General features: G+C 39.7%; 1 protein-coding gene across 1 annotated transcript, besides 2 other annotated features; it reads right to left on the minus strand.

Annotated features, from left to right (window-relative positions):
* Positions 1,287-1,346: a silencer, noted in NCBI's record as "silent region_14985". NCBI's record gives its function as "represses an Ori minimal core promoter by ATAC-STARR-seq in GM12878 lymphoblastoid cells {active_cell/tissue: GM12878}" and the evidence as "EXISTENCE:reporter gene assay evidence [ECO:0000049][PMID:35858748]".
* Positions 2,313-2,382: an enhancer, noted in NCBI's record as "active region_20942". NCBI's record gives its function as "activates an Ori minimal core promoter by ATAC-STARR-seq in GM12878 lymphoblastoid cells {active_cell/tissue: GM12878}" and the evidence as "EXISTENCE:reporter gene assay evidence [ECO:0000049][PMID:35858748]".
* Positions 6,694-12,631, minus strand: CRYGS (crystallin gamma S). Its single transcript, NM_017541.4, has 3 exons — positions 12,557-12,631; positions 7,606-7,848; positions 6,694-7,219 (listed from the first exon to the last, which is right to left on the minus strand). The coding sequence occupies exons 1-3, from the start codon at positions 12,575-12,577 to the stop codon at positions 6,947-6,949; spliced, it is 537 nt and encodes a 178-aa protein (NP_060011.1). The 5' UTR covers positions 12,578-12,631; the 3' UTR covers positions 6,694-6,946.

Raw genomic sequence — 13,920 nt, forward strand, 5'->3', positions numbered from 1 at the left:
TTGTTCAACTCCCACTTATGAGTGAGAACAGGTGGTGTTTGGTTTTCTGTTTCTGTGTTAGTTTGCTGAGAATGATGGCTTCCGGCTGCATCCGTGTCCCTGCAAAGGACATGAACTCATTCTTTTTTATGGCTGCATAGTATTCCATGGAGTATATGTGGCACATTTTCTGGATAAATACATTTCTATTTGTCTTCCAGGTGCATACTCATAGACATTCACACTTTCCCCCAACTCTAGCACTCCACTTCCCACTTGTATTTCACTAACATTACTTGAAACCATAGGGTCCACTGAAAGCATGCCTTAAACTTGTGTGAGGAAAATGGCTTTCTTGAAATTGTCACATCACAGAGAAGACTTTTGGCATGAACCCCCATCACACCAACAGGCTGGTCTTAAATATGGGGGTCTAGAAAGTCTGTAATCCACCTGAAAGTCACAGAGCCTTTTCTGTGATTCAATTTATTCATGAGTAAGATGGGAATAATGATAATTATCTCCTGTTTCTCACATAATCATGGTGAGGGTCAAATGAGGTATCGTATGTCAAAGAGCCTTACAAACTCTGAAATAGTATGTGCAAATATGAGCTGCTGCTAAGTGGCTGCAAGACACAGTGAGTGTGGCAGGTAAATGTGACTCCCTCACAACTGCTAGCACCTCTGGCCTTTAGGGAGGCCCCAAAAGCTTATGAGTGGTTCTAATTTATAACTAACTTGCAGGTAACCCTCTTCCCCCTTCTTTCATCCTTTCCTCTCCCCCTGCTCACAGAAACAGTCTAAAGATTCATCTTTCTGTCCTGAGTGCTGGATCCTGGAGTACTAGCCTAGCCAGGGTCACCAGGTTCACTGTGAGCTCAAGCAAACCATCCAGTGTGTACCCAGAAATTGTGGAGGTCAGCACTACAGCCAGGCCCCACCATTGTTCTGGCCCCACGGTTCAATGGACAGGCTAATGTGGCCTGTTCAGGGGGGTGGGGGCATGAACAATAGGAATAAATCTCTGCCTGCTGTGTCCCAGAAGGCAAAGTGCTGGCAGTATTTCCCCTGAAAGCTAATCAATTCCAGAACCACTCAACCAGGGTCCTGAGACTCACAAAGGGGCACACTGGTGCTGGGGAAACAGGACCAAAGTGAAAGGAAATGAGATCATTTAGGTGAGATAAGACCAAGTGGGCAGCACAGGCCTGGCAGAAATAGAGTGAGGAGATTAACTTCCCCTTTCTGTGCAATCAGCTACCCCCCTCAGCTGCACAGAGCTCTCTGGCTCTCCTGTACTCCCTACCACTACCTCCCCTCCCCTCCCCTCCCCAACCTCCTCCCCTCCACTTACTCCCAGAAATGATCTCATAAAATCATTGATTATTAACGCAGAGAGGGGTTGGAGAAACAAACAGCCCTCTAGTTCCCAATCTGTTTACCACAAGGGACTCCTCTTAGGTCTCCTCCTTCCAGAGATTCCATATTTTAAAACAGCTGCCTTTATTCAGGACCTGCTCCTTTGGGTCATTCACCGGGCTAAGGACTTTTCTCTTATTATCTCATCTAACGCTGCAAAGTAGTTATAACTACCTCTATTTTACATATGAGAAATCTAAGACTAAGAGAAGTATGTTTGCCCAAATCCTGCAACTAGAAAGTGGGAGAGGTAGAATTCGACCTAGGTCTGTATTGTCTTTAAGGCCCTGCAGGCTTCCAGCATTTAATAAATAGCTCAGGTGCCCAGCAATTATACTTCTAGGTATATACCCAAGATAAATGAAAATACATCTCCACATAAAAACTTATACACAGTCCGGGCACAGTGGCTCATACCTGTAATCCCAGCACTTTGGGAGGCCAAGGCAGGAGGATTGCTTGAGGCCAGGATTTCAAGGCTGCAGGGTGCCATGATCATGCCACTGCACTCCAGCCTGGGCAAAAGAGTGGGACCCTGTCTCTGTTTAAAAAAAAAAAAAAACAAAATAGCCAAAAGGTGAAAACAGCACAAATGTCTATCTACTGATAAATGGATAAACAAAATGTGGAATTTCCATACAATGGAATATTATTTGGTCACAAAAAGAAATGAAGCAACAACATAGGCCACAATATCTGTGAACCTTGAAAACATTTTGCTAAGTGAAAGCAGCCAGTCACAAAAGACCACGTGTTTTATCATTTCATTGACATAAAAGGTCCAGAATAGGCAAATACATACATACAGAAAATAGACTCGGACATCTACAGAAAGTAGTTCTTCAGGACTGAGGGGCTGGGGAGATAGATAAGGCAGTGATCCCTAAAGGGTACTGGGTTTCTTTTTGAGGTGAGGAATATGTTTTAAAATTGCCTGTGGTCATGATTGCATACAGACAACGGTAAGGATACTAAAAACCACTGTATTGTATGCTTTAAACAGGTGGATTTACGACATGTGAATTACATCTCAATAAAGTTATTTAAAAAGAAATAGCTCATTCTATGATAGACAAGTTACCATGGTTCCGTCTTGAAAGTTGAGAAGCAGAAGTTGCACGGTACAGTGGAAAGAATGAGAGCTTTGGAACCAATGACCTCAGACAAGTTGTTTAGCCTCGTTGAGCCCCAGTTCCTCATCTGTAAACTGGGGTTAGTAAGCCCCAATCTCACTGTTTTTACAGTATATGGGGAAGCCCCAGCCTCTCCTGTTCTAAAATTGCCTGACTTTGAAGTTTGAGGCTTGAAGGAAGAGGTAAAGGTGTGAGGTGTCTGTGGACAGAAAAGTTTCCCTTGCTCTGAAGTCACGCCCATGAGGGATTCTCCTCTCCTGTGTGTGCCAGAAGCTGGTCACCCAAAGCTCAGTGATTAGCTGCCCTCTGTCTCCTGAGGAACCTCAGAGAAGAGAGACAAAAATAAGGGAGACTTGCGTGAACTCTAGGGACAATTCTGCTGGCTGTGGAAATTGCTGGGAGCTAGAACCAAGGGAGCTAGAACCAAGGGAGAAGCTTATGGGAGAGCTAAGAAAAGGCTGAACTCCCGTGATAACAAAAATATGGCTCTTTTTCAAGGTAGTAGGATGGGTTGGACCATTCTGATATATTTCTTCCCAATTATGAGGCATCTGCCAAAAATGCAGAAATGCTTTTCTGAAAACAACTAGGGGGTAGAAACAGGGATTTAAAAAGCTAGACAAGTTAAAACACACACACACACACACACACACACACACACACACACACAAAACTGATAATAGCAGTACTTTACTACTCAGAAACAGTACTAATATGACAACCATGGTGGTAAAGAACTGGTGACCCTCATTATAACATAGATTTCATACTTGCAAATTCACCCACTCCCTCCAATTTCATTGTAATCGCAAAATCACTAATCGTGGTGCTCTTGTGATCATTTATGGATATGAGCAGAGCAGTGAAAAATTTGAGTCATCCAATGAGTATATTCCCAGCTAAGGTCGAACAAATGCTCCCCCTTCTTGTTTCAGCTCCCATACTGTAAACAAGTCTCCTTTCAACCCATTTAGTGTCATGCTTTCCGCATTGCACTGTTCTTCGTTGGTAATTTCACTGTTGAAAACATCCCCAAATGTAGTGCTGAAGGGCTGTCTAGTGTTCCTAAGCATGAGAAGGCTGCGACGTGCCTTACTGAGATACCTGTTAGATCATCTTTCTTCAGGCAGCAGTTAGAGTGCTGCTGGTCCTGAGCTCCATGTTAATGAATCCACAACATATATTCAAGAGTCTTTAAAGAGAAACACATATGAAAAAAGTTTATGCATTGATCAGTTGACAAAAATGTGACCAGAGGCTTACAGGAACTTAACCTAGTATTTTATCTAAGAGCAATAATTCAATATTTGCAATTCAGTGTTTGAGGTATTTTTATGGAGTATAATTACAGAAAATAATGAGAATTAACTGTATATGCTACATATTTTTCACATATTATCTCATTTTAATGCCCACAGATTAGGTGTTATGTTAGTTTCACAGAAAATTGAGGATATACATGTTAGATTATGTGACTTAGAGCTAACATATGGAAGTGGCAGAATTTGAATCCATTTCTGTCTAACTACCCAAAGAGGAAGAGAACTCTTTAGCCCTTTGACTGGAGAGTTGGCTCTTAGGGAAAGGTAGCCAGTCATCCATATCAGGGCTGGGCCACAGGGAGAGCTGAGCTTAGTTAAGAACAGCATAGATCAGAGAAAAAAGATGAAAGAACTGAACATAATCCTCCAGCTGTAGTCTGCACTGGTCAGACTACATACAGCTATGACAGTGGGGAGAGAGAAATGACCATTAGCTCGAAGAGAGGCACCAGGATGGTGAGGAGTCTGGGAGCCCACACATGAGGAGAGAAAGGATGAAAGAAACAGGCATTGCTCAGTGTAGAAATGCCAGCATGGAAGCAAACTGGAGGCATCTTTAAATACCTAAAGAGCTATATCCTATGGATGAAAACTAGGATTGCAGGTTGAAAGCTTCAGGGATCAGATTTTGGCTCAATCTAAAAAACAATTTCTGATATTCAGAGCTGTCCTACAGCCAAGATTGGAAACTGGTGGTCCACAAGCCACATTCAGATGCAGATGTATTTTGTTGGTGTGTAGTGATTTAAAAAAAAAAAAAAGTATTTAAATGCCCTTCTATTGGGGAATGTGCTCATTTTCACAGCTTGCACCACTCTCTGCTCTTAGCCCCATGTCACTCCTGTGTAACTTGCCTTGTCCTTGAAGTAGGGTTGTCAGATTTAGCAAATAAAAATATAGGATACAGTTAAATTTGAATTTCAGACAAATGACAATTTCTTAGTGTAAGTATGTCCCATGTAACATTTGGGACATACTTATGTTTATTTTTCTATCCCAATAGACAGTGAGCTCCATATATGGGAATATTCAGAGACTTGTCTTAGAGAAATTCTTGTGATGGAAATAGGGTTAAAATGGTTTAAGGGTGCCCTTGCTTTATTTTATTGAGATCCCCCATTTCAGAGCGATAAAACAATAAAAGGTAGGGGGAGATAACTGAATTATCAGGTGCTGTTCTGGGTGTGGGTGACAGGTAAGACACCAGCTTCTTGTCCTAACAGCTGAATGTTCTACCAAAAGAGCTGGGACTGACTGATAGATAAGGATATAAAGTGTTTTTGACCTCTAATATCAATTGTTAGTCAAATTCCTTTTAAGCAGAAAGTTGATTGGTGTGTCTGCAACTGGAGAAAATGATAGCAATCTCTTTCTGGACCAAGGCATGAACCAGGAGGCATGCAACACTCCAAAATAATAATCCTGCTTTTATCTGTCAAAAGCCATCTTCTACTTCTCTGAAACTGTGGTTAGTCATCCTGACACTTCTTGTTTTCCTACCCTGCTGCCAGAACTGCTTTTCTAGTTGAACAGACTGTGACCAACTCACCAAAGAACATGGCAAGCAGTTGATATGAGAAAAGAGACTGATACTAACTTACTTATCACAGCCTATTTCTTTGGCAAAAAATCAGTGGATTTCTGAGGTCACTTCCAGAAATTATGCCTCTAAAAGTAAGTGTCAGTAGTCCTTGGTCATCAGCTAGTTTTTTAATGTCCTCCTGCTGGTGTCTGGGGAATTAGAATGTTTGTGTTGGATGAGACTCCAGAGAGCATTTGGCTCAACTCCCTTGTTTTGGAGATAAGGAAAGGTAGCTTCATGGTATGGTGGCAAGATCCAGAGCTGATGGCTGCAGTCAGCTCACAGGCCAGAGCTCTTTGCAGCTCAGCAAATGGCCTCCCATTCCTTCTCCATTTGTCAGGTTTCCCTCCCTTACTTACACCCACTTTTTTCAGTCTCTCACTTGAAACAGACAAAATGACAAAAGGGAGGGGAAGATAACAACATGAATAAACATATTTTGGGGTGAGTATGCACTGTGCACTATAGAGTATACACAAGGGAAATTTAGCAATTCTAATTTGTCCTTTTGGGGAAGGCTCCTAGATGACAGGGGCTTTGCTATCTCATTTACAGATGGGTGCATTCTGCATATCCCCAGGTTCACTTGTATGTTCACTAAATACTCCTGGCCATACTGTTTCCTTCTTCATTCTTCTCTTCAAGATTAAATAAAATCTCAGGGGTTACTCAAAGCAAGTAAAACTTGATAAAACTCCATTTCAACTATTATAATGTAGGGACACTTTTAATATGTCCTTTCTTTACACAAAAAATCTAAACTTAGGATTGAGAAGTAACTAACATAGCAGGCTTTAGATCTTAAACAAGGACTTCAGATGGCTTATGGCTCCACCATTTTCAAATAATAACCCTATTTTCACTGGCTGTTCTTGATAGACACTCTGTCCCCTCAACTGGAACATCAGAGGACCCCGTCTTTTCTACCTTTAAAAATTTTCAGGGGCTTCTACAGACACTATATGCACAGATCTCCAGCCAATGTGTTGAATGTATGTGTTAGAAAGCAGAACAATGACTTTGGGAGCAGAAGTAGCCTGGACTGAATCCTGGCTCCTCCATCCACCAACTGGTGAATTTGGGCACATTTTAAATTTCTCTCAGTTTCCTTATTTATAAAATACCGAAAAACTACCTCTCACAGGGTTGTAAGGAGAAAATGAAATAATGTAGGCACTCAATAAATGGTAGCAATTATTACTGTGCCTGTTGAATTAATGCAAAACATAAGCTAAAGGAACCACCACATGTCAGTATGACTTTCTAACCTTTTAATGAGATCTCATTTTGTTTGGCACAAAGATCTAGATTGGTGATCTGGCAGATGGGTAGCTTTGTGTGACTGCCCACTGTGGCGAGCACTGTATTGCTGGTCCCTAGAAGCATTTAAGGAGAGGCATTATAGTCAGCAGTGGGATGCATGCCAACTGTTTTATTGATGATGCCTATTTGGACCACAAGGCCAGCCAGCATTTGGGCCCCAGGAAGAATATGGCCCCATTCATGTCATTACTCCACAATGCGGCGGAAAGACTGGACAGCTGGGGAGGCTGCACCCCAATCGATGGGCTTCCGGTACTCCTTCTTGTCCAGGAGGTACTGCCTGCCACGGTAGTTGGGTAGCTCATAGAAAATCCAGACACCCTCCAGCACCTTACAGGAGTGGATCTCTCGCATGTGAAATTGCTCCATGATGGAAGGGCAATCTTCGGTGGTTTCATACATCTGACCACTAAAATCCCCTTTCTCAAAGATCTGAATCTTATACTGGCCTCCACTAGGCTGAAAAGACACAGGAGAAAATGAACAGAAACCATTATGGAAATCACCAGCAGGTCAAGAACTTAGAGAACAGTATTGCTCAGAACTTATCACCTTGAAAGCTAGATGATCTGAACTCCCATCTCACCATGTACTGACTAAAACAGCTAACTTTCAATAAGAAAAAATTAATTCTTCAAAACACTCAAGAGGCAGAGACAGCACCCTGGAAATTAGTGTAGTCATTCTAGTGATGAGCTGCTCTAAGATGTTACTCAAGCCTCAGCAGCCAACAAGCAGCTACTCATTAAGAGGTAGAGAAGACTCAAGAAAATGTTCACCTAAAAGCAAGAGAAAGCGGACAGAGGGCGTGGGAAACAGAGGGAGTACACAGTCCCCAGACTCACCAGATGAACAGCTCTGCAGGAGCTGAGGCGGTCGTTGAGGCCCATCCAACGCTGGTATTCAGGGTACTCTCCCTGTGGTAAGATGTACATGTACCCAGCAAAGTTGGGCCTTTCATAAACAGCCCAGGTGCCTCCTTCCACTTTAATGGAGTTGCAGCGACTTAGGTATGTGTGGAAATCTGCACAGTCGCAATCACAGTCATAGCGACGGCCTTGAAAATTTTTGTCTTCATAGAAAGTAATCTGAAGTAGAGGGCCAACAGAGAAAGAGCTGAGGAGCTGGGTGGCTTAATTCACAGATAAAAATTAAGAACATAATGCCTACTTTAGAAATTCCTTTCACCTCAATTTTGAGGAAAAATATGTAGCTGTACGTCACCTTACAACATTGCTTTCTGACAGACAACTTCAGTTGTCAACAACAGAAATGAGTTCTTCCTGAAGGCTGAACATGAAGCAAAACAGAAGAGGGCTCTAATAGAAGTGAGCAGTCTCAGACTCAAGTTCATTTTCCTTCCTTTATGTTCCCACAGCTCTCTGTACTTACATCATATTATAAATTATCCATTTATATGTCTACCCCTCCCACCAGAATCCTAGCATACTTTTTCCAAGGGCAAGTACCAAGCCTTATTTGAGCTATCAATCCTCTGTGCCCATCACTTGACTTCAATAATTGTTTCATGAAGATGACTCCTAGGTGATATGGAGGATACATAGAGAAAAATAAAGCATGAACCTTAGCTTTACAGAGCTTATTTTAGATAGATGTAGAGCTTTCATACATGAAAATGTATCATATCATGTTCTTTATTATTAGTTTATTGCCAACAGAGTAGTTGCAAAGTAACAAAATGATAAGAATCCTCTTTGCCTCCAACGCTTATCAAGTTTCTACCACAATGCCTGGGGTAAGTCTCTGATGGCACTGAAAAATATGCAGCCCTGTGAAAGCAGAAACAGTAAGTCTGGACTACAGAGCTCCCTCTCTACAATTAGCCTTACTATCTTCATCCAGCCACCTCTCTGAGCTTCAGCTTCCTATTTGAAGACTACAGCAGACTGGAAGTTCTGGCTTTAAAACAACTCTCAGAGCTTTTCTGGCTGAAACAGGAGACAGAGTTCCTAGGAACTCCCAAGGATTCACCAAGCAGTTCCTGAAAACCACGATGAAAACTACAAATGAGCTACAGAGCTTGTCCCTTGTTATTCAATAATTCCACAATCTTTTCATCTTTTTTTTTTTTAAGATGGAATTTCAGATCAATGCTAGGTTATAAACTGAAACCACAGGTGTCATGCTTCGAACCGTTAATTACCTGGCATTATGCCGCCACCTTGTGGCTGATTTACTTTATGGATTTCACGGGCGAAAACTATGTGAGTCATTTCAGATGAAAGGAGCAGAGCCGGATACTGTCTTGAGAGGATCTTTGAGCTGAGCATTGAAGGATAAGTAGGTGTTTTCCAGAGGCAAATGAAAAGGAACAAACATGTTTAAAAGAATAAAGTGAAAGAACATGGCCCATTATAGGGACAATAAGTAGTTCATTAAGTCCAGTACATATTGAATATGTGGTGAAGTACTAGAAAATAAAGCCAGAAAAATGACACCAGAATCATGCTGGAATCCCTTTGGTGATTATGAGTGAGTTGGACTTAGTAGTGTGTGCCTAGAAACGGATGGCTGCTGTGGGCCAGGTGAGAGATGATGAGGGCCAACCAAAAGGCAACTCCAATGTGAATGATGATGAGAAAACAGTAAAGAACTTCAGGATTTGGTGACTAATTAGATGGAGGGAATGAGAGGAAGAAACGAAGAATGACTCATAAAAAGCTATAAAATCTCATTCTCCTCTATCCTGGGTAGTTCTTTCTATCTAGATACTAATATACTAATAATTGTTTCCCTCCACCTTAATCTTTCCCTTCCCTTCCCATTTATCTCAATTATTCTCTTTCCTGTTCCCTAAAAGGGTCCCTTTTCCTTCCCACCCCTAAATCATCTACTTCCTCTCCTTTATCCCCTGCCCAAATTTCTTTATGTGTTTCAGTTCCCTTCCCATCTTAGCACAGTACAGATTTAGATATATGGTACCTCAGTTTACGGATGAAGAAAAAAAAGAAAAGTCTCAATACTACTGCTTTCTTGCTACGTGACCTTGGACAGGGCAATGAACCTTTCTCTACAGCTCTTCATTGGCAAAACAGGATGATAGTGTCTCTTGCAGACGGTATGCTCTGAGGGTCCAAGGGGATGTTGATAAAGTACTTAGTTGAATAGCTGACTCATGATTAGCAATAAGCTTTTGCTACAGTTTTTACAGATGAAGAAGTTAAGTGATTGGCCTAATGTCACTACCTAGTTACAAGTTAGTTGCAGACAAGCTGGTGGGCTGCAGTGCAAAACTCCTGGTGAGTAAACTATTGTTCACTTTATTTTCCTTTGCTGTCTTTCTGCCTGCCCAGTTAGCTTCGTTTAACATGGCAGCACTTACTCTCTTGGACAATGACCAAGGCTGGGCCTAAGCCTCAGGGGCTCTTCCTCATGACCTGTGGAGAGATCTTTAGGAAAGTCAAATAACTTCTCTAAGAATGGATAGATTCTAAACTCCTTAATTCATATGTTCTATTTGCCTTTGGTTTTTGACCAAACAAGTCACTAAAAAGAGCCTTTGCAAAAGATATCCTATGGGAAATGAAGTTAATAATACCATCTATTTCACTTCATAGTTTCTCACATTTACTGCCTTCTGCACATTTGCGTGACTAATTATCAATATCTGCTAAGTAAAAAGATACATGATGCCTGATACGGTCACCTGATGTCCACCCTCCCAGGAGACCAGCCAACCATCCAAAAGTTGAAACAAAGCCCTCATCCTGTTGCTATGGAATCATTACTGAGCTCCAAGACTAAGCTCTCCTTTCAGTGGGAGACCTTCTATATCTCAGAGCCAGAGAATGTTGCACCTAGCTGTGCTCAATTTCTTTTTGTAGAATAACCATGAAATCCATGCTATTGTCAGCCTAGAGGTTTTGACCTTTGGGCAAAATATTTTGTAGAGAAGGCTAAAGAAATGTGCAGAAAGTTTTCCTAGAAATTATTACAAAATTCCTATCATTATCAGGTTTATTTTTGGAAAAATGGCCTACTAATCCAATGCAGCAGAGAGAAAAATATCTTGAGTATCCCAGAAGTAATGAAAACATACTTAGTAAAATCTATTCCTTTTGCCAAGCCCATAACTCCTCTGATTAAACTGCTATCAAGATAGTGGGAAAGGAAGAAGCAATGAGAAAAAGTAAGAAATAATTTACTATCTCCTTTACCCTAGCAAGCAAAAGTTATTTAACTAAATGAACGACTCATCTATAAATAAAAAAGAGTACACTATTACTACTCTGCAAATCTTTAAAAGCAGATGTTTTCATCTAAGATGGTTGTAGAACAGCTTTACCTCAAGATACATGGATATCCCTCCTCTAAGGACCAAAAATTCTTTTTTAGTGGGATTTGCATGGTATATTTTCAAGAACCTCAGAGCACTGAAGACACTAATTTTTCTCCCCAAACCTCCTGAATGACAAGCATGATTATTAGTTCTATTTTCCAATGAAAAAAAAATCAAGCACTAATAAATTACAGAACAAGTTAACAGGTACCTTCTGACCTGATGCAACAGGAAGTACACAACATTGCCTATGTAGCTTTCTTGCCAAATATATTTATTCTGAATCTAAACATGAGGAAACAATTAGACAAATCTAGATTGCAAGACTTTCTAAAAGACATCTAACCTAGGCTTTGAAAAATGTCTCAAGAACAACAACAAAAAGGGTAGAGGGACATTTTTAGAGAGGCTAAAAAAAACTAAAGAGAATAAAGAGACATGACAACCAATTACAATACATGTTTTTCACTGGATCCTGTATTAGGGGAAAAGTCCACCATGAAGCACTTTTCTGGGGACAATCAGGGGAGATTTGAATATGGTCTCAATATTAGCTATTATATTTATGATAACTCTTGGGGACATGCTAGTGATACAGTGTTTATACAGGGAAATGCCCTTGTTTTTAGGAGATACATGCCTAAATACTTAAGGCAAAAGTATAATAAAATCTGCTACTAATTTTCAAATGGTTTAATAAAGAGAGATGGAAATAGGAGAGACCAAATATGGCAAAATGTCAACAACTGGAGAATATAAGTGAAAGATATACAAATATTCATTCAACATTTCTTTGCCATTCTTTGAGGATTCAATGGGTTTGAAAATTTTCAAATAGCTGGGGGTAAAAATCAGGCAGCAGTTTTGTCTCATCAGTGGAAGCGCAAAAAAGAAAATGAAAGCATATTCCCTCATTCCCAAAGCCCTACCTGAAAGAATAATTTCCAATCCAGTAATTGTGAGTTAAATATTTTAGAGGCAATTTTCTGACTGTAAGGGAGCACTTTATTTGAGGAACGAGTAAAAATAATTGCTTGAATGGAAGAGAGATGTAGGACTTTATTCACCTGATTGGCCCATCCACTTTGGCCTTTTAGAACACAAATGGTTGAGGCTAAATTTCAGAAAACAAAATTTTAATTGATTATTAAAAGTTTTCTGCTCAATATAATCCCCATTAGCATGCCTTATTCCTATGGAGAATATCAGTTGCATAGAATATTAGTTGCTAGAAGGCAGAAATAATAATGATATTTATAAATTACCTGTATAGTATTTAACATAGCACCATACATAAAGATAAACCCTTAATAAAGTGTTCGGTAATTCTGTTAAGGGTGGAAAATATAATAAGCATTTCTTAATCTTCTCTCTCAATCCCAGTTCTCTAACCACTATCATACTCACCTCTAGGCAAAGAAGCAAAAGCTTTTCTGTGTGTTGAATGCATCATTAGGTGAAAAGCGGGTAGGCTAAAAATCAATATGACTACTTACCTTGGTTCCAGTTTTAGACATTTTTGGTGCATAGACTGGTTTTCCCAGTGCTGAAAGAAATTCAGGAATGGCTACAGAGAGTTAGAGGCACAGTGACATTTATATGGGCTGGTTTCAGTCAAACATTTGCTTAGTCATGAGAATAGGATCCAAAAATTGAGTCAGTCATTTAGACGCTATTGATGGTTTCTAGAAAAAACAACTGGGATTATAAAATAAAGGAAAGCTTCAGTACCGCCTTTAATGCTTACCAAGCAGGGCTGCATTACAGACTTTGCTGAGTCAAGAAACCAAAACCCAGACAAAGTTGTAAAAATTAAGAACAAAAGAGTCTCTCTTTTTTTTTTTAAGCAGCCTCTTTGAAATTCCTAATGTCCTTTTTCTTCAACAAAGCTTGTGAGAGGTAAGAGTCAGAAGACTACCTCTATTTCTGGACAGAAGTGACATGTTCTAAACGCAACAAAACTTACATGACAACTAAATGCAATGCATGATCTTGTGTTTGGGGAAAAAAGTCACTATAAAGACACTGCTGGGACAATCAGAAAACATTTTAATATGGACTGTAAATTAGATAATACTATTGTACCAAAGTTTAACTTCTTGAATTTGATCATTGTACTATGACTAGGTAAGAGTATGTCTGTTTCCAGGACATGTATGCTACCATTTAGAAGAAAGGTTCAAGATGTCTGCAACCTATTCTCAAATTGTTGAGCAAAAATAAAACAATACTATCATGTTGAGTGGTAAAGAGAATGTAGCAAAATGTTAACAACTGGTGAATGGAATCTAGATAAAGGGTATGTTAAAGTTCACTGACTTATTCTTGCAACTATTATTTAATTTTTTTCAAAACACAATTTTTTTTAAAAAAAGAGCTCTAATCCATAAGAAGGGTGCCACCGTATGTAGAAAAGTGACTGTGGGACTCCTGAATTTGCCAAGGGTTAGCTAACTAAACACAACAAGCTACTGGCTAGGTGGTCTTCTTTGCCCACAATACAACATTGGAACATGATCGGAGAACATTTTTTGGCCCTAATACACCTCTGACTTTAGGAATGAGATTGCATCTTATGTAAATACAAAAAAACCCAATAAATTAACTTTTCTCCATTTTTAACTTTAACTGATCAAGTATATTCTCAAAATCAAGTATATTCTCAAAAGTCAAACTTCCTCATCTTTCTGTTAACAAAACTAACAAATATTTTAATAAATGGGATGTATTATGGTCAATTCAGAAAATGGCAAATGTGCCTTAATATAAAGATTATTGAGAAAATATTAAGCTATATGCTTGGTTTTCTGAATTTTATAAAATTTTATAAAACTTTAAAACTTTAAAAAAAGTATCTGAG

This window comes from Homo sapiens, chromosome 3, assembly GCF_000001405.40.
Source record: "Homo sapiens chromosome 3, GRCh38.p14 Primary Assembly".
NCBI classification, from domain to species: Eukaryota; Metazoa; Chordata; class Mammalia; order Primates; family Hominidae; genus Homo; species Homo sapiens.

What these genes read in the sequence shown, in the direction of transcription:
- CRYGS (NM_017541.4), bottom strand. Translation starts at nt 12,577, where the DNA reads ATGTCTAAAACTGGAACCAAG. An exon ending in TGTCTAAAACTGGAACCAAG is followed by an intron (nt 7,849 to 12,556) that starts GTAAGTAGTCAT and finishes CCTCTACTTCAG; the next exon opens with ATTACTTTCTATGAAGACAA. An exon ending in CCTGCAGAGCTGTTCATCTG is followed by an intron (nt 7,220 to 7,605) that starts GTGAGTCTGGGG and finishes GTGTCTTTTCAG; the next exon opens with CCTAGTGGAGGCCAGTATAA.